The sequence below is a fragment of the Homo sapiens genome, chromosome 3 (genome assembly GCF_000001405.40).
Source record: "Homo sapiens chromosome 3, GRCh38.p14 Primary Assembly".
Taxonomy (NCBI): Eukaryota; Metazoa; Chordata; class Mammalia; order Primates; family Hominidae; genus Homo; species Homo sapiens.
This window is the reverse complement of record NC_000003.12, coordinates 122,798,276-122,823,419: the sequence shown is the minus strand read 5'-3', so window position 1 is coordinate 122,823,419 and position 25,144 is coordinate 122,798,276. Positions and strand designations below refer to the sequence as shown.

General features: G+C 39.6%; 1 protein-coding gene across 1 annotated transcript in view; it reads right to left on the bottom strand.

Annotated features, from left to right (window-relative positions):
* The window catches only part of SLC49A4 (solute carrier family 49 member 4), an 86,071-nt gene that overhangs the window by 57,720 nt on the left and 3,207 nt on the right, over positions 1-25,144 (bottom strand). Inside the window, exon 2 of the mRNA NM_032839.3 lies at positions 16,470-16,563. Within this exon, the coding sequence (NP_116228.1) occupies positions 16,470-16,563 (94 nt within the window). The remainder of the gene's footprint in view (positions 1-16,469; positions 16,564-25,144) is intronic.

Sequence of the window (25,144 nt, the reverse complement as noted above, 5' to 3'; positions counted from 1 at the left end):
GCTGCCTATGACAAGAGTACAGATGGAGGTCTCTGCATGTCCTTCTTCTCTTCTGACCTCTGGCCCTGGCCTATATATCAGGGCTTTGCATATATGCATGTGGAGCTGAAGGTCCAACTCCATCTAAGCTCCAACTATCCCCTCCAAACAGCTGCCCCTTAGCTATCCCTTAGGCCTAGGAAGTACACAGCAGGGATGCAGCCTACTCTTGGAAGAGCAGGCCTGGGAAACAGGCTTGTTGTAAGGCCTATTTCTGGGGTCTTGTGTAGCTAGTGCATAAGACTAGAGGGTAGAGGGCAGGGTGTGCACATCCCCTTGGCCCTATGAAATCCTCAACCCACATGGAAGGGCAAGGCTGAAAGAAAGCCAGAATGGGACACCCTCAGGCATGGAATCCAGGACAGGGACTCTATGGCATGGTTTAAAGTGGTACTGGCAACACAGTGGGGAGGTGGAGGGCGGATGGTCTGGAGAACCGTTAAGGTGATACAATATATATGGCAAGGAGAGGGGGTGGATACTGGAGGGCACCCATAACTCTGTGCAAACATCTAACATGTGGCTAATATAGGCCAGAAGCTAAGAAAAGCAGTCTGAGCTGAGAAATATAAGTTGTAGGTGGATTGGGGTGGGGAAGAAACACTAGAGAATAACAACATTTTAAAAATAGAGGAATGGGAGTCGAGCAAGATGATTGAGAAGGAGCCATTACAAGGCAGAAAAAAAGCAAAAGAGGAAAGACTGGTATCACGGCAACTAAAGAGAGACGAGTTCCAAGAACATAAGAGCAAGTGGTCAACAACATCACATCAAACAGAAAGATCGTTTATAATAACTGAAATGTAACCACCAGATTCAGCAAAGAAGAGGTCATTTGTGGTCTGAGTAGAAGCAGTTTCAGTGGAGTGTTCAGCATGGAAGTCAGACTCATGAGGAAATCGAAATCTAGATTTAGACTATTTCTAGAAGAAACAGATGCAGGAATAAAAATTAGCTATATAAGCTTAGCGAAGTGAACTGAAAAGAAAAAACATCCAGCTTAAATGAACAGTCTGAACTAAAAAGTCTCTCCACTTTCACACATTAAAAGATAAAATGCGACTCACGATTATCCTAATGCTTTCTAAGCACTTATGAAAGAAGCTGGCTCTCAGAAACTAGTACCTGTTGATCTGGGCTGACTATTAAAAACGACAAAGAAAAACGAAGGAGGGGGATTCATAATCTTCAGTACAGTGAAGTCAACCACACAGTTTAATATTAATTGTTTGTCATCATTACATGCCTCAGTTTTGTTTTGCTAGGTAAAAGTTAAGGTCCTTGTAGGTCAGGATCATGGCAGCAGTCCCCACAGGCCTCACTCCCATAGCGCTAAGGCAGTGTGGATGCTCTCGGGAACTCACAGACTGGGCCCAGTACAGGGACATGCAGTCACTGAAATATGCAACTAAACTGTGTTTCCAAAACTTCACAAAGTTATCCAAATGCATACATCAGATCAGTTCTATTGATAAATTTTAACAAGTTTAAATTCAGTAATACAAAAAACAAGATGACTAATATTCTCAAAATAAAGCTTTTAAAAAAAGATGTTTTAGGGTGCTTTAAAAGCAAGGCCAATGTGACATTTTAAAAAAGGATGTTTTAGGGTGTTTTAAAAGCAAGGCCAATGTGACATAACTGTCTCAAGCACAGTGGACTTGGGAAGGGTGGGCAGAAGTTAGGAGTGTGAGGAGGCAGTTTTGTCTTCTGGGCAATAAGCTCTGGAGCAGAAAGGCAGTTGTCCAGTAATGGACTAGTTAATTCAAGGGGTCTGACTCTTGCCTCCTTACCCGAAACTCCACACCTGATGAAAGCACGTGTATCCTCACAGTTAATGGACTGCATTTCTCTTGCACCTCTGCAGGTCAAGCTGTGAGAGATCTGTCAGGAAGCAGATGTGTGCCTCCTCCTTCAGCCCAGTCTCCTCATACTGACTCCTTAACTCTCTCCTGTTTCTCCATCCACCTCCCAACCCACGGCCCCCAACTCCCTTTTCTTCCCTCTTCTCTGAAGTCTTTCTCCTTTTCCCTTTTTTTCCTCCTTACCTAGCCTCTGTCTACTTCTGAAGCCTGGCTCATCCCATCCCCACAAGCCAGATGGAAAAGTGAATGAGAGAGGGTGTATTAGTCCATTCTCTGCTGCTAATAAAGACATACCCGAGACTGAGTAATTTATAAAGAAAAAGAAGTTTAATGGACTCACAGTTCCACATGGCTGGAAGGCCTCAGAATCATGGTGGAAAGCGAAGGAGGAGTAAAGGCATGCCTTACATGGCGGCAGGCAAGACAGTGTGTGCAGGGGAAATGCCCTTTATAAAACCATCAGATCTCACGACACTCACACACTATCACAAGAACAGCAGCATGGGGGTAACCACCCCCGATTCAATTACCTCCCACCAGGTCTCTCCCACATGTGGGGATTATGGGAACTACAGTTCAAGATGAGATTTGGGTGGGGACACAGCCAAACCATATCAGAGGGGAACTTCTCCTGCATTGGCAGAGCAGGAATGGTGGAGACTAGAGAGGGAGACCTGGTGCTGCCCACTAGCATCAGCACTGCTGAGACTTCTAGCCTGTGGCAGGAATAGGAGAGGACCCAGCCAGGCTCAGCCCCAGGTGCGCTGCAGAGTCCCACTGCCCTCGATTAGTGCCCCTGCCCACAGAGGACAATGCCTGCAGGGGTGCGTGGGATGGAGCTGGTGCACAGCTGCATTTCTTTCTGTATCATTCAATTGACTATAGCTTTTCAGACAAATGCCAATAGCTGAAGTTCAAATTGAAGATCTACAGTTCACATCTTCTAATGTAGTTGACATTTTAGCTTGCATTTAATATTCTGGTATCCTAACCTTTTGCTTTCTAATATCCTGGAAGAAATACCTATGACTCCTAAATTATTTCTACTTAAATAATATGATGTTTTAGAATTAAAATCTTTAGAGCCAGAAGTGACTTCAGACCTCACCTAGATAACCCAACCCCTTCCAGAAAGTTAATAACACATGTAAAATCACATTTATAATTTTATAACTTTCCTTTCTTTAAAAAGTATTGGAGGGAGCTCCAGTCATACAACTAGCTAATGGCTCAGCCAGAACTAGAAATCAAAATTATAGCTAATTTCATCAGTCCACAAATCTCTACTCTCTCACATGATCCCATTCTGAAGGTTCTCTGTTAATAATAAAAAAAATTACTGATTGTTAAGAAAATCCAATGTTCCTTAAATCCAAAGGCACACAGTACAGAATATTTTTATTCTGTTAATCAACCTGCTTTATAAACCTCTAGTTTATTATGACTAACATTGATGCTAACATTCGAGTTGGCTTTTTAGAAATCTGGCAGATACTTCCTCAGTGCTATTCTAGTATTCAGAATTTAAATTCTATATATTTTTAATATGAAGTAATTTAGAATACATAAAAATACTTACCTCCAAAACTCATTAGGTCAATAGTTCAGAAACTTTCTCCCAATTCCTAATTATGCCATATCAAAATAAACTCTTAGCTCATATTCTTTAAAAAAAAAAAACTTTAAAAAAAAGTCATGTGTTTATAGGATTTTTTTGATGTTGAAAATGGCAAAAGTGCTGGAAATAGTTTTCCTTTATTTAGCCCAAGAAAAGGTGGGCAATAAAGAGGGTTAGAGATGTTATGAATTAACTACAGGAAAAAGGAAGACAGGAAAAGAGAAATAGAGGTGGTGGTGGAAAAGTAATGAGCATTCCAAAAACTTTGGTATCACAGCCTCAGTTTTCTTTCACAAAAATCTATTTTATTTTTGTATCCTTTATTAATTTTGGTCAATAATGATTCAATTAAAAATATCTATTGAGTATCTGCTATGGTCAAGGCACCTGCAGCTAGGCACTAAAGGGAATATGAAGATGAACATTACAGTCTTGGCCCTAAAGAAGCTTTTAATAACTTACCAAGTACCAGCTATAGAAAATACATAAAAAAATACAGTGAAAATAATATTAGATTAGCTATCACAGGGCTTAGCTTCTAGTCTTAACTAAATTTATTAACCATATAATCTTTAGAAAATCACATTCTCTTTCTGTTTCAATTTCTCCAAAGATACTTTCTGTCTCACAGGATTTTTTTTTTTTTTTTTTTTTGAGGCAGGGTCTTGCTCTGTCTCCCAGGCTGGAATGCAGTGGCACGAAGGCAGCTCACTGCAGCCTCGACCTCTGGGCTCAAGTGATCCTCCCACTTCAGCCTCTCAAGTAGCTGGGACTACAGGCACACACTAGCACACCTAATTTTTAAATTTTTTGTAGAGACAGGGTCTTGCTATGTTACCCAGGCTAGTCCTCCTGGCCTCAAGTGATCCTCCTGCCTTGGCCTCCGAAAGTGCTAGGATTATAGGCATAAGCCACAGAGGCTGGCCTCTCACAATATTTTTTTTTTTGGGGGGGACAGAATCTCACTCACTCTGTTGCCCAGGCTGGAGTGCAGTGGTGTGATTTCAGCTCACTGCAACCTCTGTCTCCTGGGTTCAAACTATTCTCCTGCCTCACCTCCTGAGTAGCTGGGACTACAGGCACACCCCACCACGCCCGGCTAATTTTTATATTTTTAGTAGAGATGGGGTTTCACCATGTTAGCCAGGCTGCTCTTGAACTCCTGGCCTCAAGCAATCCACCCACCTCAGCCTTCCAAAGTGCTGGGATTACAAGTGTGAGCCAACAAGCCCAGTTTCTCTCACAAGATTTTTATTAAGGTCATATACAATAATCTCTCAGCAATGCACAGGGGAAAAATGGCCTTAGTCCTGGTCTGAAAGATGTCTACCTCCCCTCATTTTGTTTCATTCCTTGTTTCTTGTCACATAACTTTTATTTTGTCTTTTTGTTTAAGAGTATATATTAATACATATTCATAGTAGAAAATTTTGAAAAGAAATGCATAAAGAAGAAAAAAAATCATCTATAAATGGAATACCCCAATTCAGACAACCACTACTAATATTTTGATTTTCCAGTCTTTTCTTCAGTTTTTTTCCTAATGCATCTCTCACTCTCTTGATCAATCAATACTTAATCGTACATAGGTAACCACAGATACCATACTGAATATACAGCTTATGCACTAAGTCATTTTATGGTCTATCAAGCATTTTCTCATTTCATTATTCTTTATAATAATTGTTAATGGTTTTGTGATATTATATTATACAGATATATAAAATCTCATTTAACCATTTTCCTAATGTTGGATAGTTGTTTCCAACAACTTATTTGCTAATATTAATAATGCTGGTGTGACAATCTTTGTATGTGAATATTAGCTACTTTCAAAATTATTTTAGGGTCAGTAAGTTAAAATGTGTGAACACTCTAGATCTTAGGAAATATACTCGCAAACTGTTTTTCAGGAGGATTAGTAGTAATTTACATTCCCATCAGTAGTAGCTGACAGTGTCTGCTTCATCAGCACAGAGCATCACTATTTAAAGATACATGCACACTGGGCAAGGTGGTGCACACCTGCAATCCTAGCACTTTGGGAGGCCAGGGCAGGTGGATCATGTGAGCCCAGGAGTTTGAGACCAGCCTGGGCAACATAGTGAAACCCTGTCTCTACAAAAAAAAAAAAAAAAAAAAAAAAAAAATTAGCTGGGTGTGGTGGCACATGCCTGTAGTTCCAGGTACTTGTGAAGCTCAGGTAGGAGGATTGCTTGAGCCCAGGAGATTGAGGTTGCAGTGAGCCACAATTGCCTGGGCAACAGAATGAGACCCCATCTCAAACAAAAAAATCAAAGAAAACAATAAATAAATAAATAAAAATACACACACACACACTCTCTCTCTCTCTCACACACACATGCAAAACTTGGTGACTAGTTTCCTAGTCCTGCTATAACAAATTACCACAAACTCAGTGGTTAAAATAATACATACGCGTCATCTTACAGTTCCATAAATCAGAAGTCCAACATGGGACTCTAGGGCTAAAATCAAGGTGTTGGCAAGGCTGGGTTCCTTTCAAGAGGCTCTAGAAGAGAATCTGTTTCCCTGATTTTCCAGCTTGTAGTGGCCGCCCGCATTCGTTGGCTCAGGGCCCTCTTCCTCTGTTTTCAAAGGCAGCAACTGCAGTTGCTGGAAGATGCAAGAAAACATTTCTCTGACTTCTTCTTCCTCAAATCTATCTACCTTTCTCTTTATGATTTTCCTTTATTTTCATGCTTGGAAAAAATATCTTTCCCATGTGGAGATCAGATAAATACCCCCATATATTGTTTCTCAGCTAAATATTTAACCATTTTGTTTATTTGAATTTATTTTGACACATTATATGACATGAGGATACAAAATGGTCTTTTCCTCCCAAATAGGTAGCCAATTTGCCTGTGGTAGAGATGATTAACTATTACCCCAGGGTCATTCTGTTTTCCTTTTAGTTACAGAAGACCTTAAGTTTTTGCAGGAGTAAAAGCGCTCCTCACAGATAGCTGGGGCCTTGTTATTACTAAGTTCAGGCCAATGAGATTAGAGCAGGGGGACCTCAAGGTCACCTCCATGAAGACAGAACTGTTCTCCCTGCTCTGCTTCTTCCTGTGGGTGCAATGTGACCACTGTGCTGATGAACTGGCTGTTGACTATACTGTCAAGGTCATCTCCCTGGGGAGAAGGTAACAAGATAGAGGGAACCCAGGTCCCTAGACAACCTCGTAGATCAGAACTGCTACCTGCCCTGGCCCACCTGCTTACTCTGGACTAATAATAAGAAAGAAATATTGTCTTGTTTGAACCACTCTATTTTGAGATCTCCTCATTATAGCAACTTAATTTGTCCTCTAATTGAGAAATTAGCTCAAGAATTGGGGTGCTGCATTCACAAAGGCACAACATATTGGCACTGACTTAGTGGTCAGGCTGTAGGCAGAAAAGGCAGGTGACCTGTGGCCGCAGCAATACCACTGCTTGTGATGACCTGGGATTTGCTGGAAAAAAATCAGAACATTACTCTGTGTTTCTTGCTCCTTACTGAGTGTAGGATGGCACAAGAGAGATATAAAGAATTAGCTGGTTTGCAAGCAGAGATGGAAGGGACAAGAGCTCTGCTAAGGGAGTTTCTCTGCCCGAGGCCTGCAATATAAATTTAATGAGAATCCAGAAATTTGAAGCCTCAGGTTGCTTCTGAATCCAAATGGCAGGAAATAAAATGTGCTTCAGAGCCAGTCTAGCAGCAAAAATTAGGTTAAGGGTGATATTTTCCTTCCCAGGCCTACTTTTTTCAGATGGCATCAATGTGGATACCACTAAATTGAGAAAATCTGGGATGGGTACCCAAGCTGGTAAAGTAAAGAGGAGATTCAACAGGTATAAGAACCATAAGCAGAAGGAGAAATATTTTGGCATGGCTACATTTCCATGGAACCTACCTGATGTAAATAGACCAAAAGACTATTAAGCATTTGAGGGAAGCGTATTGCCAAGATACTACAAAACGCTTCTACCAAGGATTAAGACTGCTTGATCCCTAAAGTAATCTTCAGGTTCCCAAATCAGCATCAAGCAGAAAGTGAAATGTCCAACAACCACTTCAGGTGTGGTCACTGGGAATAATGGACCAAAAAAAGAGCTTTCCAGAGGACAAAGCCAAAAGCCACAAACAATAATCAAAGAAATTACTTTCAGAGAGCCACAAAGATCTGATAGAGCCCAGAGATTCTGGATTTTGAGCTGGATGCATTAATTGGACAGGACTTTGAGTTTTCTCCATTGAGGAAGGATGAGTATGTTCTCTACATGGGAAGAGGGGAGTGCATGGACACATGGAGGCATCTGACAGCAGAGACTCCTAACTGTCTCTGCCTATTTATTCTCCCTTTCTTTGTTTTGGTATGGCATCCTTGAGTTTAACTACATACATTGCTGCTGAGCTACTTTTCCAACCTCTCTTCCAGATCCATGTGGCCAAGTTTTAAGTCTGCAACCAATGGGATATGGCTAGAAATGACACAAACAGGCCAGGCATGGGGGCCCACATCTGTAATCCCAGCACTTTGAGAGGCCGAGGCGGGCAGATTACTTGAGGCCAGGAGTTCAAGACAAGTCTGGCCAACATAAATAACCTCATCTCTACTAAAAATACAAAAATTAGCAGGGCATGGTGGCAGGTGTCTGTAATCCTAGTTACTCAGGAGGCTGAGGCAGGAGGATTGCTTGAACCCAGGAGGTGGAGGTGGCAGTGAGCCAAGATCATGCCACTGCACTCCAGCCTGGGTGACAGTGAGACTCCATCTCAAAAAAAAAAAAAGAAGATGCAGTCACCTGCCTTGGATATCCCACTTACCCTCCTGTGGGCTGGAATGACAGCATGATACAGACAATAATATCACCCTAGGAGATGCTGGAGCAACAACAGAGAAGGGGCCTAGGTCCTGGAGGACCTTTCAGAACAAAGCTGCCTACTTCCCCTGAATAGCCCACTATTGTTTAGACCAGGGGTGTCCAATCTTTTGGATTCCCTGGGCCACACTGGAAGAAGAAGAACCGTCTTGGGCCACACATAAAATACACTAACACGAATGACAGCTGATGAGCTAAAAGAAAAAAAAAAGTCACACAAAAAAACTCACAAAAAAATGTCACACAAAAAAATGTTTTAAGAAAGTTTACAAATTTGTTTTGGGCCACATTCAAAGCCATCCTGGGCCGCATGCATGCCACAGATTGGACAAGCTTGTTTTAGATTGTTCCTTGAGAGAAAAATGAACTTCTACCTTATTGAGCCTCAATATTTTTGGTTTGTTACACAGCTCAGTCTGTACTTTACTAACATATACATATGCTGTCAATAAATGTTGACTGTTGAATTATACATTTAAATGATGAAATCTGAGAATCAACAATTGTTAGCCATGTCTACTATGTCCATTTTTCTATTCAATTTTCAAAAATGCTCATGTTACTTATAAGTTATCTATTATATTTGCAACACATATTTCTCCCAGTTTGCATTTTAATTTTATAATCTGTTTTGAAGCATAAAGCTGGAAAATGTTGTCAAAATGTTAGCCTAACTCTAACCTGAAAACCCAAATCACAAATCTTTCCCTTTGTGATTTGTGTTTGTTTTTGTTTTTGAGACAGGGTCTTGCTCTGTGGCCCAGGCTGGAGTGCAGTGGCGCAATCTCGGCTCACTGTAACCTCCGCCTCCCAGGTTCAAGTGATTCTCATGCCTCAGCCTCCCAAGTAGCTGGGATTATAGGAATGCACCATGCCTGGATAATTTTCGTATTTTTAGTAGAGACGAGGTTTCACCATGTTGACCATGCTAGTCTTGAACTCCTGGCCTCAAGTGATCCACCTGCCTTGGCCTCCTAAACTGCTGTGATTACAGGTGTGAGCCACCACTTTCATTGTTTTTATGCTTGGGAAATAAAGCAATGTCTTTAAGATTCATTTTCCCTTATCCTGTCTCATTTTAAATACACAGCTCTCCAATCCATCAGGAATATGTTTTAATGCATGGTGCAAAGTAAGGATTCATTTTTTTAAACTAATATGTAATGAATTTGCAAAAATACATAAACTTCTATTTAATAAAATATGATTTTTCAAATAATCCTGATTTTTTAAATTATATGTTAAATTGTTATCAACATCTGCCTCTAGCATATTTTGTTCCTCTAATCATTTTGTTGCAGATAAAGTTTTAATTGTTTGCCCCTTTGGTATTAAGCGGAAAAGAAATCTAAGGCAAATCCTTATTTCAAAGAAAAGAATAAACATTTGCAATAGGTTTTGAATATATTCTTAATAAATTTCAACTCGGTCTACTTTGAAAATTCTATCCATTCATGATTGTGATGATATACAGGAGGGAGAGAGAGGATTATGAGCAGGAAGGGGCACGCAGGAGACTTCTGGAGTCTGGGCTGAGTGACGGCTACATGGGTATCAGTCTGATGATACACATGTATGTTGTATATACTTCTCTGTATGATGTACCGAACAAGAAAAAAGTCAATAAAAAATTCATAAATGACATTGTGGGCCCTTGGAAAAAATGTCTCATAAATAACCGTATTTCAAAAACAACAAAAAGGTTAAAAAAAGAGTTTTCCAAAACTCTAAAGACAATTTTACACAGCTTTTTTTTTTTTTTTTGAGACAGAGTCTCGCTCTATCGCCCAGGGTAGAGTGCAGTGGTGCAATCTCAGCTCACTGCAACCTCCACCTCCCGGATTCTCCTGCTTCAGCCTCCCGAGTAGCTGGGATTACAGGCAAGCGCCTCCACGCCCGGCTAATTTTTGTATTTTTAGTAGAGACTGGGTTTCACTATGTTGGCTAGGCTGGTCTTAAACTCCTGACCTCAGGTGATCCGCCCGCCTTGACCTCCCAAAGTACTGGGATTATAAAGGCATCACGCCCTGCCTTTACACACCTTTTACTCCCTTTTTTTCCCTCTTAAATGCTTATCATGACTGGTTATCTTTTCTTACAAATCTTTCTTAAGTCCACCTGACCACTATGCAGACATAGTCATGAGTTTTACTTGCCTTGAGTTGCCTTGAGTTTTAAGAGTCAAATTAAGGCAAACAGATTTATTAAATAGAGGCTAATCCTTAATCTGCTTTAAAATAAGACATTAAATGTATTGTGTGATTATACTGTAGGATGGACAAGCATAAAGGTATTTGTTTAATCAATTACTATTTAAAGTGAAGATGGGAGGTAGTTCTCAAATTTAAATGAGTATAAGACTAGGGAACTAGGAAAGTAGTTCTCAAATTTAAATGAGTGTAAGACTAACTAAAAGAGCTTGTTAAAACTGCTCATTCTCAGGGTTCACTCAAGAGCCTAACTAAGTGGGACTGGGTTGGAGCCCTGGGATCTGTATTTTAATAAGCAGGAAATCTGTGAATGATATTTTAGAAGACACTGATATAGGGGAATCTGAATCTTCTGTATTTTACTGAGAAAAGTCTTAGTTCTTAAATCTACCAATTGCTCATTTTTACATCAAAAGATTTACATTTCTATGCTGGGCAAATTTATAACCCTTCCTTCTCTTTACTTTTCCTATTATTAAGGCTCTGAGGTGGTGATTTTAGTTTTACTTAGCTAGTGCTTTCAGTTAAAAAGGTAATATAGGCTGGGTGCAGTGGCTCACACCTGTAATCCCAGCACTTTGGAAGGCTGAGATGGGAGGATCACTAGCACCCAGAATTTGAGACCAACTCAGGCAAAATATTGGGACTCTGTCTCTACAAAAAATTTAAAAACTAGCCAGGTGTGATGGCACATGCCTGTAGTCCCAGCTACATGGGAGGCTGAGGCAGGAGGATCCCTTGAGCCTAGGAGTTTGAGGCTGCAATTAGCTATGATCACACCACCACACTCCAGCCTGGGCAACAGAGTGTTTCCAAAAGAAAAAAAAAAGCTAATATATGCACATGGTAAAAATATTCCCAAAAGTAGTAAAAAATAAAAAGTAAATGTCCTTTCCACCTCAGACTTCTATTCCTCAGATGCTCTTCCCAGAAAAAACCAATGATACCCTTCCCATTTTTTTCCAAGTAAGAACATACTAAACATAATATTCTAAAGTTTGCCTTTTAACTAAACAATATATTTTGGAGATATTTTCATATTAGCACTTATAGGACTTTTACTTCCTTTTCATGGTGCAATATGATTCCATGATATACTGCATCCTAATCAGTTCTCTGCTGAAGGCATCTGGGTTACATCCAGCCTTCTGCTATTACAAGCAAAGCTGCACAAACATGGTAATTCTTGCAAACTGACAGAGCTTTATATGTGGGCTAATTTTCTATAAGTGCAAATATAGGTGTAGGTTAAAGACATGTATATTTGAATCTGGTAAATACTGCCAAAGTGCCCTCCAAATAGGATGATGCCCCAAACTGCTCACACATCAGCAGTGCCTGTTTTTCCCCACATCTCAGGCATAGAACATTATCAATTTTTTTCATCTTTGCCAGTAAATAGACATCTGTCTGCTATTTTAATTTTCATTTATTTAATTATGACGAAAGCTGAATATTCTCCTGAGTTCTCTCGAGTTCTCAAGAAAGAATTCTCTTGAACTTCTCTTGAGTTCATGCCATTTATATTTCAACTTCTGTAATTGCTTGCTCATATCCATTACCTATTTTCCTATTGAGTTGCTATTTTTCTTATTGATTTCAAAGAACTAAGGAATTACTCATTTGTCTTACGGTTGCAAATATTTCCCAGTTAACTCATCTTTTGACTTTGTTTTATAGTATATTCAATCATAAAGATAATCTAAATTTTTACATAGTCAAATATATCAAGGCTTTCTTTTATGGCTTCTGGGACTTGTGTCTTAATTGGAAGGTCCTCTCCACCCTCAGATTCTGTAAAACAGTCATGTTCTAATACTTTTATGATTCATTATTTACATGTAAGTCTTTGATACAGCTGGGATTTACTTAAGTGGTAAGGGAGGGATCTAGGTTCTTCTTCCTGTTTATTCAGATAGCTAAGCAGCTGTCACAAAATCAGTCACTAAACAATTCACCTTTTTCTGTTAGGGTCATTTTAAACATAATCCTGCCAGCTGCAAAGTATTTCACAATGGAGTATATTTCTAGAAAATCTATGTTTACTAGAACCAAACTATTTAATACATGTTGGTAAACATTAAGTATTGTTAATATTAATGAAAATTACACCGAACTGAAAAGATAATGTGGCATGTGTTGCACATGTTTACCTACGTAATAAACCTGCACATCCTGCACATGCATCCTGGAACTTAAAATAAAATTTAAAAATATACATGGCATGTGTTACAGGAATCACTGGATACACCTATGATTACGAGCAGATATAACTTACTATAAGTTCACCCTTCAGAAGTCCTTAAGTTGTTTACTGGGAAAGCAATATAATAATATTTCACACTATAGAGTAATAGCGCTCATTGCAATAGAGTGATGGCTTTTACAATTTTTTTGGGGTATTATTTTGTTCGAGATCATAGAAGAAAAAATGCTTTATAATTTGTTATACCAAGTTCCTTATTTATCTAAGATGTTATAAGAAAAACGTGGCAAAATAATTTTTTCCTGAGTTTTCATCAGTACTATGCAAATAAAATAAATACTGATACTATATATAAGTAGAACACCATTAGGAAGAGCTTGTCAGAATGCTGCTATTCTCATGTCTTGATACTTAAGGGAGCTAAGATACAGGAAGTCAAGGGTGCAGGGGAGCCATTCCAAAAGGCTGGGTCAAAAGCTCAAAAAGCTCCGAGTGAAACAAGGCCACAAAAACACAGACTTGTAAATGCTTGTTTCAACACTGGCCTTCCCTGGAACATCGGATGGAGACTGAAGCTTAAAAGTGATGGCTATACACCTGATTTGTTGAAAATACATGTTCCAATTGTAGCATTTTCATTTTAACAGCTTCATCATGCATTGTTAACAACACTGCTTAAAAGATATGCTTAAAGACTACGAAATGAAGTCTTATTTCAAGGGGTTAATACTCCTGTATTCTTTATAGATGAATGTATAAGATTGAAAATTCAATTTATACACTCTTTTTATGAAAGATTCAATCTCTGAACTTTTTATTTCTACTTCTTACCTGTTCTACATTTGTTTACATTTATTTATGAATTGTTTCTTTTTCATACCACCTTCTCCAACAAGATGGAGGGTCAACTCTATTATTCCCAGAATTTTGTATATGGAAAGGATATAAAGGGATATGAGACTGGAGGCAAGTAATAGTATGGATGGCCCAAAACAGAAGAAAAACTAGCAAAAATATTAATAGGTATTTTTTTTGAGATGGGGTCTCGCTGTGTTGCCCAGGCTGGTCTCAAACTTCAGGCACAAGAGATCCACCTGTCTCAGCCTCCCAAAGTGCTGGGATTACAGGTGTGGGCCACTGCACCTGGCCTTAATAGGCATTTTAAAAGAAAGCAGTGTTGAATTTAAGCTTACATGAAAATCTGTACTTAAAATCTGTGGATGCTTGAAAAAACACACCTCTGGGTGTTTGAAAAATTAAGAGCATCTCAAATACAATAATGAGACTTGTGTTAAAATCTAACTGAGAAGGATGGAAAATTATGACTAGCTTTCCATAGGAACCTAGATGATTGTCTTATCTCCCTTTTCAAACATGAACCCTTGTACCCTAAATTTTCTAGAAAGAAAACACATTTTGAAATTCAAAACTGAACATTTATTTTGAAACTGAAAAATTCTGTTCCAAAAGAAAGTCAACATCTTGTCCCTGAAATCCACTCTCCCCCACTTCTGTGTTCCCCATCTGTTAATGGAATCAACAATTTCAGAGTCCCTCGAGTGAAACTTCCAGCATATCACCTCCCATCTCTTTTTCTCACACTTCCCCTCATGTCTGTGCCATCCTTTCCATTCCCCCAACTTCCCACAGCATGGAATCATTCTGGACTCCTTTCTCTTACTTCCCACATCTGGTCCATCAGCAAATGGACCAGAATATAATCAGAATATAATTACATTTTGAATATTCAAGATGATCAGAATTTGACCACTTCTCACCACTCCCACTGCCACCACTATGGTCCAAGCCACCATCATCTCTCACCTGGTTTATTGCACTTGTTTCCCAACTTTCCTTACTTATGCCCATGACCTCAAGCTTCAGTCCATTCTCAAAGGAGCAGCCGAGCACCATGGCACTCTCAGCTCAAAACCTCCAGTGGTTTCCTAGCTCAGAAAAAGCTGAGGAGCTGACGTGGTCTTAAAGAATCTGGTCCCACCCTCCCACTACCACTCTGTAACCGCTCTGACCTCATTTGCTACCTGCTTTTCTCATGCCACACCAGCCTCCCTGCCAGGCATCCCTGTCCCTCTTCCACCCTGAACTCTTGCGGTTCTCTCTGCATATAATGCTTGATTCCTAGATACTGCATCATCCATTACTTCTGTCAGGTTTTTATCCCAAAAGGTTATCTTCCCAGTTAGGTTTTTCTTTCTGAAATCTCACCATCCTTTCCTCGCCTTTTCATATCCTTCTTTCCTATTTTGTTTTACTCTCCATAGCACATACTATGTATTTTACTTATTTATCTAGTTTATTGCTGGTTTCCCTGAGTGGAATGAAACTACATCACAAACATAGTATGTCATGTAATGTACATTATATAGTAAATTACTATGTACTATGTAATATACTATGTAATTTACTACATTACATAGTAATTTTTATCTGCTTTGTCTTCTGTCATATTCCCAATGCCCACAAAGAGGTTGGCACATAGTAGAAGCTCAGTGAATTCTGTTGAATGAATGAATGACCTAATAAATGAACCAACAAAAGAATGACTTCAGCTTGGGGTCCCACTGTATCTTTCCAGGTCTTCTGCCAGCAATCTCTACCCCTTATAATCAAGCCTACATATCTCAATCCATAGTGAATATAACATAGGTCTGATACTAGCACTCCTCTGATTAAGAGCCTAAGGGGTTTTCCACTATCCAGTGAGTAAAGTACACTGTTAATAATACAGGATGGCATCAAGACCCTTCAGAATCAAAATATAACCTTCTAACCTCATCTTTTTATATCCCATTCTTACACCTTAATCTGTAGACCAGTATCTCTCGAACTTGAGTAATTTATGGGTCCTTCTGAAAGGGAAAAAATTTCTCAACGACTCTCAAGGTCACATTCAAGGACCCCAGTCTCGGAAACACTAATTTAAGAAATTAACATCCTGGTCAACAAAAATACCTTTTTATTGCAGATTATTACTGGTAAAATAATACTGTATCATAACCAATATAAAAACAAAATTTAAAACCTTCGTATACCTTACACTCCCTAAGAATAAATCCACGGTCCCAGTTGCAGAAAGGCTGCTATATACAAATAAGACTACCTATCCACCCCAGAAAAGGCCTATGCTTACCTGCCTCCATGGCTTCACTCTTGCTATTCCCCCATCCTGGAATACCCTTCCCCTGACTATAGTTACCAACATTCTACTCATCATTCAATGCCTAGTTTAATTACCACCACCTTTATGAACTCCTCTTTTTGATACCCACAGCCAAAACTTCTCCTAGTCTCGAGGCAATTTTGTATTTCTTCTGTAGCATTAACTACACTATATATATATATAATATGTTATATTATTATACTTACAAATGGTATGTTATACTATTATTTTCACATGATTATTATTGTTCCTGGACAATATGAAGATTAACTTGCTCTTTTTATTTCCACAACAACTAGTGTCTTCCATGACAACTGATAAATATCAATTAAATTAATCATCATATAGAGTAAAAAAATAAACGCTTCTATAAATATGACCCTTTACTGATCTTCTTAAAAATTTATACACATAATAAAATGAAAAATGGGGGAGAAATGTTATTTACAGGATTTACCTTCTTTTAAGGATTAAGTCTGATATAGGTATGCATCTTAGACCAGTTCCCAAAACCATAAGGAAGGATGTCAGGAGCACAGTTATCCGGAGACCTAAAATGAAACAAAGACATTGAAATTATCTTGATTTTCTCCTAAGTCCAATGTTAAAAATAAAGATTATTTTTAGTCAATCATACTGACATTATATGCTAATATTATGGCTTTTCTGTATAACTTTAAAAATGGAAAAAAAAAAAAACAACGAACCCTACATGCTGAAAATGAAATGATGGGCTGGGCATGGTGGCTCACACCTGTAATCCTTGCACTTTGAGAGGCCGAGGTGGGCAGATCACCTGAGCTCAGGAGTTTGAGGCCAGCCTGGGCAACATGGTAAAACTGTCTCTACTAAAAATAAAAAAATTAGCCGTGTGTGGTGGATTACACCTGTAATCCCGGCTACTCGGGAGGCTGAGGCATGAGAATTGCTTGAACCTGGGAGGCAGAGGCTACAGTGAGCTGAGATCACACCACTTCACTCCAGCCTGGGCGACAGAGTGAGACTCTGTTTCCAAAAAAAGAAAAAAGAAAATAAGATGATTCTAACTTTAATGGAAAATAGGAATGTTCATATCAAAGATGGAGGAAGAAGTTCTATTAGCTCTAATTTTTCAAAAGGAATGTCTAAAATGTTCCGTTCAGATATAATACTTAAAAATATGGCAAATAATTTTCAAAGACTAGATATTTTAGTTTTATATCTCTAATAGAAAAATCTGAATTTTCAAATGTAAGCTGCTAATAAAAAAAAACTCTTAACTGTCCCTAAAAAGTATTTTAAGGTGATAGAGTACTGCCTTAACTTTTCTCAAAACTGACAACTAGGGAACTACATATTTCATAATCAGAACAAGCTAAGGTTGTTAAAGCGTCATAGGAAGTGGTCCTTTAGAACTCTCTGATTATTAATATAATCACAGTCTTTATTTTTTTCTTGATTTATCCGATGGTTTTCATTATAGAATAATGCTTAATAATGTTAAAAAAAATCACGGCTTAGGACTTTAGAAGACAATGTGGATCACATAGTTTTTTCCCCTTGTATTCCAAACACAACAATTACTTTGAAAATGTGTGTCAGTGGTTGGTCACACAGAGGGCAAAGTATACAAATACAAAAACAAGATAATCAGAAATAGACAACAATATTCTAGCTATGGCAGAATAATCTAACAGAACTCTATCCTCCTATTGTTGGAATGCTACGCCTCTGTTAATACTAAATTAACATATCTTACTGTTTGTGGCAGCCACATCACACAGGTGGTTCATACAAAGTCTATGGCAAAGGTGGCCACATTGCTTCAAATTTTTCCCAAATCCAACATCACCTTGAAACCACTTCACACAGAGAATAGACATAAACTGACTGATGTAATATTTCTTTTTTTCCAGGGCTCTCTCCTCTCTTTTTGCAGAGGGTACATGGTTAAATGTTTGGTTTTTAAAGAGCTACTCTCCTTGAAGAAAATTGAAAGTCAACAAGACTATAATTATGCAGATCAAACATAGCAAAGAAAATAAACTTGAGATCCAGACATGCTACATTAAGGATAATTTGTGATATGAACTGAATTACTTTATAATATTCTTATATAATCTGGATATGATTAATACAATTTACCAGAAGGAATACCATAGGGAACTGTGCTTCTTGGTAACAAGTAATGCATACATACTGCTCATTTACTGCTTCTACTAACAGAATACAGACTTTAAAAATCACATTATAGCCACAGGAAACAGAGTGCAATTAATGAAACGTACATACATGGTCATAAATATCCTAAAATCACAAAATGTTGCTCTTACAAGGATATACTGGGTACCCTACGAGATACTGAATAGAATTTTTATAGGTTGGGGACCATAGGCTTACATTCTACATGATATTTATTTTTTTCTAAAGAGTTTGTTTTTAATTAAGGTAAGCAGACACTAAGCAAGCAGTGAGGCACTGTTTATGGCCATATGGTCCAATAACCAGGCTTCCTATTGTTACTGCTGAAGGCTACCATACTTTACTCAGTTATGCTTTTTATCAAATATTTAACAATACAACAGCTAATATAAACTTTTAAGAGTAAATAAATTGTGAAAAACTGCTTATTAAAGCAATCTGTGGCCAGGCACTGTGGTTCACGCCTATAATCCTAACACACTGGGAGGCCAAGGTGGGAGGATCCCTTGAAGCCAGGAGTTTGAGATTAGCCTGGGTAACATAGTGAGACCCCATCTCCACAAAAATACAAAAATGAAAAATAAAGCAACCTCACAAGTACAGTGTGGTGGCTTTCTTGTGTATTTTTAATTGCTGCCAAGTGTTGTTTAATCTATCCCAGCTGATGATCTTGAATAAAATGCTTTCCTCATGTCACTCACATCCTGACAAGGCATAACTCTATAATTCCATGTAATCAAAAAGATATCAGCTCATCAAGGGAAAGGAGTTATGAGGACCCCAGGAGAATAGCCTAATATAGTTTGGGTATTTGTCCCCACTCAGGTCTCACGTTGAAATGTAATCCTCAATGTTGGAGGTGGGGCCTGGTGGGAGGTGTTTGGATCATAGGGACAGATCCTCATGAATGGCTTGGGCCATCCCCTTGGTGATGACTGAGTTCTTGCTGAGTTCACAGGAGATGAGATCTGGCCCATTAAAAGTGTGTGGCATCCCCCTCCCCGACTTTCTCTCTCCTGCTCCTGCTTTCACCAAGTGATGTGGCTGCTCCCCCTTCACCTTCTGTTATGATTGTAAGCTTCCTGTGGCCTCCCTGGATGATGAGTGAATGCCAGCACCATGTTTCCTGTAAAACCCGCAGAACCATGAGCCAATGAAACCTCTTTTCTTTACACATTACCCAGCCTCAGGTATTTCTTTATAGCAATGTAGGAACTGCCTAACAGATTGGCTTCTGAGACATATAGGACTGTTATATAAATAGACCCCAAGTGATTACAACAGTAATAGGATGTAAGTGTAAAAGCCATCTGTGAACAATTTCAGAAAAACAAACATCATTGAAAATAAAAATATTTCTTTTCAAACATGGCATCCAACATTCAGAATGCTTCCTTTCAACAGATGTGATAACTCCTTTTGCTGGGGACCCATTGAGTGTAGGAATGGAAATCTCCACAGCAGATGTCTAAAGAATCAGGCTGCAGAGTTGACTAAATCCCTCCCCCACAACCCACACACCCATAGTGGAAGCATGGAAAATCAGCAACAGGCACAGAGCTCACCTGGTAAGACCACCCTCCCGTGGCTCCACACTTCCATCAGCTGAAGTGAAGATGAGCTCTGCTGGCTCCGGGGCAGATCCCCTTTTCCCTGCTCATAACCCTCACAGCCTTGTCACCCCAATCTGCCTTGGAGATTGTCAGAACTAATGACATCATGCCTGTTTTTCCTGTTTAAATCAGACACAAAAGATTCAAGATTCACAGGTCATCTTTATCCTGATATGGCTTTATACATCCCCTAATGAGACCTCATCTCTTCTTCCTACCTCCTCAACTCCAGAAACCTTCCTCTGTGCCTTCTGGAGTGCTCAGGCATAATCACTGGAATCCCTACCTTCCTGAAGCTCTTCTCCAAACATTCTCTCTACCTTCTTACTCCCAGAGAAATCCCTTACATTGCTTTCCCTGCCACTTCCAGATCATTCCTACTCTCTCTGCCCACAAGTTACCTGGTCTTTTTTCTCTCCATGCTTTTAAGGATTTCTCTTTATCACTGGGTTTAAAGAAGTATGACCATGATGTGCCTTGGTGTAGGATTCCTTATGGGTCTTCTGCTGGGATTCTTAAATTTCTTAGATTTGTGGGTTTATAGAAGTCATTAAATTTGGAAAATGTTCTGCCATTATTTCTTCAATTTTCTTGCACCACTCCATCTCACTCCATGCTCTCCCTGCTTACTTCTCTCTCTTTTCCTTATGAGACTCCAATTACATGCATATTAGGCCACTTAAAACTGTCCCACAGCTCACCGATACTCATGTTTTTTGTTTGATCGGTTTTAGTCTTTATTTCTCTGTGTTCCATTGTGGACAGTTTCTAGTGCTATATACTCAAGTCACACGACCTTTTCTTCAGCAATGTCTAGTCTGCTGTTAAATCCTGTCCAGTATATTTTTTTCATCTCAGACATTGATTATATTTTTCGTCTTACACATTGATTACATTTTTCATTTCTAGAAGTTCAATGTTGTTCTTTTTCTGTCCTCTTTGTCTCTCCTTAATGTGCTCATGCTTTCTTTCTTCTATCTTCTTGAACATTTGTAGTATGTTTGCAGAGGTTTTTCCATTCCAGGTCTTGGGAACATGAACTATTCCCAGCCTGTGTGATCCTGGGGAACTGTTCTGCCTGCTCTTTTTTGGCAGTCCTTCCTCCAGTCTTGGCTAATTTCCTCACATGTATCCTCTGATCAGTTTTCTGCTGAAGACTCAAGAGGAACACCCTGCAGATCCAGAACATTCTCTGTAAAGTTTCCTCCTCTGTTGTTTTATACCTTAAGAATTCTAGCTATGTTGGCCTCTTTGAATTCTCACCTCCGTCTCCTCAATTCAGGAAAACTGCTGGGCTCTGACTGAGCTCCCCATTTCTGTACTCCTGCCTGGAAATTCTCTCTGGATGGTAAACTGAAGCAGTCATAGGGATCACTGCCCTGTCCTGCCCTGCCTGTCGCCCAATGTTTGAAAACCATTGTTTTACATATTTTGTTTTATTCTAATATTTATTTATTATTATTTTTTAGAGATAGGGTCTCACGATGTTGCCCAGGCTGGTCTTGAACTCCTGGCCTGAAGTGATCCTCCTTTCTCAGCCTCCCCAGTAGCTGGGATTACAGGTGTGCTATGCCTGGCTCATGAAATTTATTTAGTTCCATATATTTTGATTTCTTATTTTTCATTTTTAATTAAGACAGAAGGATAAATCCAGTTCCCGTTACTCCATCATGGCCAGAACAGCCTTTGGTCTAATTTTTTCTGACTAATACCCACTGCTCCTTGCTGTGGTTGTCTACAGACCACCACACACCTGCCTCCAGGTCATTCGCCTTCACTGCTTAAAGATGTCTTGGCTCATTATTACTCCTCAGGACACTACTCCTTTCATAAACTTGGTGATTTCAATATCCACTAGATGATCCTTTCAGTATGCTGGTCTCTCAGATCTCTGACCTCTTGTTCCATGGTCTGAGGTACGCTCTTTTCCCTACCTCTGCCATCCATGCTTTTGGTTATACTCTGACCTTATCTTTACCACAACTACATCCATGTCATAATCTCAATTTCTTTTTTTGTTTTTGAGATGAGGTTTCGCTATTCATCTGGAGTGTAATGGCGCGATCTCGATCTCAGCTCACTGCAACATCCGCCTTCTGGGTTCAAGTGTTCTCCTGCCTCAGCCTCCCGAGTAGCTGGGATTACAGGTGCCCACCACCAGACCTGGCTAATTTCTTGTATTTTTAGTAGAGAGGGGGTTTCTACATGTTGGCCAGGGTGGTCTTGAATTCCTGACCTCAGGTGATCCACCCAACCTGGCCTCCCAAAGTGCTGGGATTACAGGCCATAATCTCAATTTCAAGTACCCCATTCCTCAACCATGGCCTCCTCTCTTTCCCTTTCATTCCCTCTAGTAGTCTAACAAGAACAAATTATTGATTAAATACGGAATGACAATTTGGGAGCTTGCTACTTCTTCTCAACCACCTCATGTGTTTCCTTTGTCCTCCTTAGATTCCATGGTCCACTGTCAGATTGCTCTCTACCTAACCCTCTACTCTTGGCCTGTACTTGTCAGTCCTATTCACCTGGTAAAACTGCAACTCTGGTTAAATCTCTCTGCCAACTCTGCCCATGCCTGTACTTGCCCAGCAGAACAGGCTGGAGGGAAACACACAACCATGCTGACTGGTCTGACTTCAAATTAATAATCAGTCACTGAAAGCAGGCCCTCAGTGCTACCCAAGAATCCTACTACAATTTCGTAAACCATGTGTTCTCCATTTTTCTATAAAATAGTTTCATAATTAATCCTCTCTCCAGTAACTGTTCCCCTATTCTCCCTCATCAGGGGATCATTTTGTTTCTTATTTTTCTGAGGGGAAAAAAGCAAAGATAACTTCTACAAGCTCTTATCATCCACCATCTGCACCTTATGTGTATACTCTATCTTCTTTCCCGTTACTACTAAAGAATCAACTGTCAATGCTTCTATCTAAGGCCAACTTGTCTACCTGTGCCCTGGAGGACCACATCCCATCTTGCCTACATGGCTACAGCAGTTCCTCCCTTTCCCTCCGGCATCATCAATTTTCCCCTTTTTATAGAACTGTTAGGATGCTGCATTAATAGATATACTTTAATATCTCTTACCAAAAAAAAGAAAAAACAAAACAAAACCTAAACCTCCTTAGTACCCACATTCCCTCTGGCTACTGCCTATTTCTCTGCTGCCCTTTATGGCATAAATTCTTGAAAGAAATTTCTACACTCACTGTCTTTGATTCCTCTTGTTACATTTTATTTCAAACTCACCACATCATTCAAGGGAGATGATTCTTTCAAAGGACACCAAAAGATCTCGATGTTGCTAAATCCAGTGCTCTATTCTCAGTCCTTACTAGCTGGTTCTTTCTTATCTCCCCAACCTCTGAATGTTGGAATGCCCCAAGGCTCAGTCCTCTACTCCAGGGAAGCTCCACCCTTCTCCACAGGTGATCTCACCCAGCCACAAGACACTTTTTATATTTTTCTTTTTTCTTTTTTTTAACCAATAAGAATGAGCTTGAACCAGCCCCATTACTTTAAATACCATTGTAGGCTGACAACTCCCAAATATACTGCACAGGCCTCTCCCCTTAACTCCATACTTGTATATCCAATTGACAGTTTAATCTGTCTACTTGGGTATCTAATAGGCATTTCAAATCCCTCATCTCCACGCCATCTGCTCCAAAATTGCTCTCTCTACCATCTTACACAACTTAGTAAATTGAAGCTGTATTCTCCCTATCAGTAATACTAAAAAGTTGAGAAACAGCTTAGACTCGTCTCCTTCCTTCACGCTCCACATCTCATCCATCAACAAATACTGGTGAATCTACTTTCGACACATATCTGCAATCTAACCACTTCTCAAATCCTCCACTACTATCACCTTAGTCAAAAGCCATCATCAGCTCCCATCTGGGTTATTCTACTAGCCTAACTTGTCTCCCTGTTCTGGCTCTTGTCCTGAAGACAAGAGCATAGTCATCGTTTTACTCTTCCACTTAAAGCCCGTCAATGGAGTGAGCCCTCCTCACTGGATAATGGCTGAGATGCCATTTAAGAATGATTTACAGGGCCCTGTATCTCCTGGCCTCTCACCACCTCTCTGACCTCATTTCCTACCACTGTTCCCCTCAGTGGCTCTACTCCAGTCACAAAGGCCTTATTGCTCTTTCTTGGACATGCCAGACAAGTTTGGAATCTTTATCTTTGCTATTCCCTTTGCCAGAAACAGTCTTCTCCAGAACTAACATGTCAGGTGTCATTTTTCCTTCAGGTGTCTGCTCAAATACACCTTATCAGTGACACCTTCCCTAAAACCTTATGTAAAGTATGATACCACTCTATCACATTCCCTTCCTCCTTTACCCTGCTTTATTTTTCTCCAAAGCAAGTATCAATATCACTAGGTGACATACTAAATATTTGCTTTTCTTGTTTGCTGTCTGGATCTCCTTACTAGGAGGAGGGTCTGTGAGGGCCATGTCCCCAGTGCGTGGAACACACTGGGTTGCTATCTCCTTGAAACTTCCTTTAGTTAGCTTCGAGGGCACACTTGGTCTTGGCTCTACTACCTCTCTGGCTAGTCCTTTTCTGTCTCCTTGCTGGTAAATGAAAAAGGGTGGGAAGGTACAAACCCATTTTAGGAAGATAAACAGTCTCCTAGGCTAATCAGGCTGGGGCGTGAGGCAGCACAAAGGCCAAACAACCACCTACCCCCCAGGGTGCAAGATATTTTGGTGCCTTGCTTGAGCCTAGGAGTTGAAAACCAGCCTGGACAACATGGTGAGACCCTGTCTCTGCAAAAAATACAAAAAACTAGCCAGGCTTGGTGGTGCGTGCCTGTAGTCTCAGCTACTCAGAGGCTGAGAATCACCTGAGCCCAGGGAGGTTGAGGTTGCAGTGAGCCAAGATCACACAACTGTACTCCAGCCTGAGTGACCAAGTGAGACTCTGTCTCAAAAAAAAAAAAAAAAAAAAAAAAAAAAGATATTTTAGTACCCAAGGATGCCAGAAGCAAGAAAGAACCTGCTTTCTACGTGCGTAGATGGAACACCTGTAGCAGGAAAGCCAACATATAAAAGTGTATTTGCTTTCTTCTACTAAAAATGAAAACTACTTCCTAATAAAGAGAATTTTTAAATGTATTTTTTATTGCTTCAACCAAAGGAAAATATAAAATTGAATTCACCATATAGTCACAAGAACTACTGAAGAACTAAAGTACCTTATTTTATAAAGTGAATGGGTAGTTTCTAATTTATCCTGCCATGGATAGTAGGTACAATTATAATAAGAAGGGTGCAAATTAACATTTTTCTACCATAAAAAACAAGGTTGGCTAAAT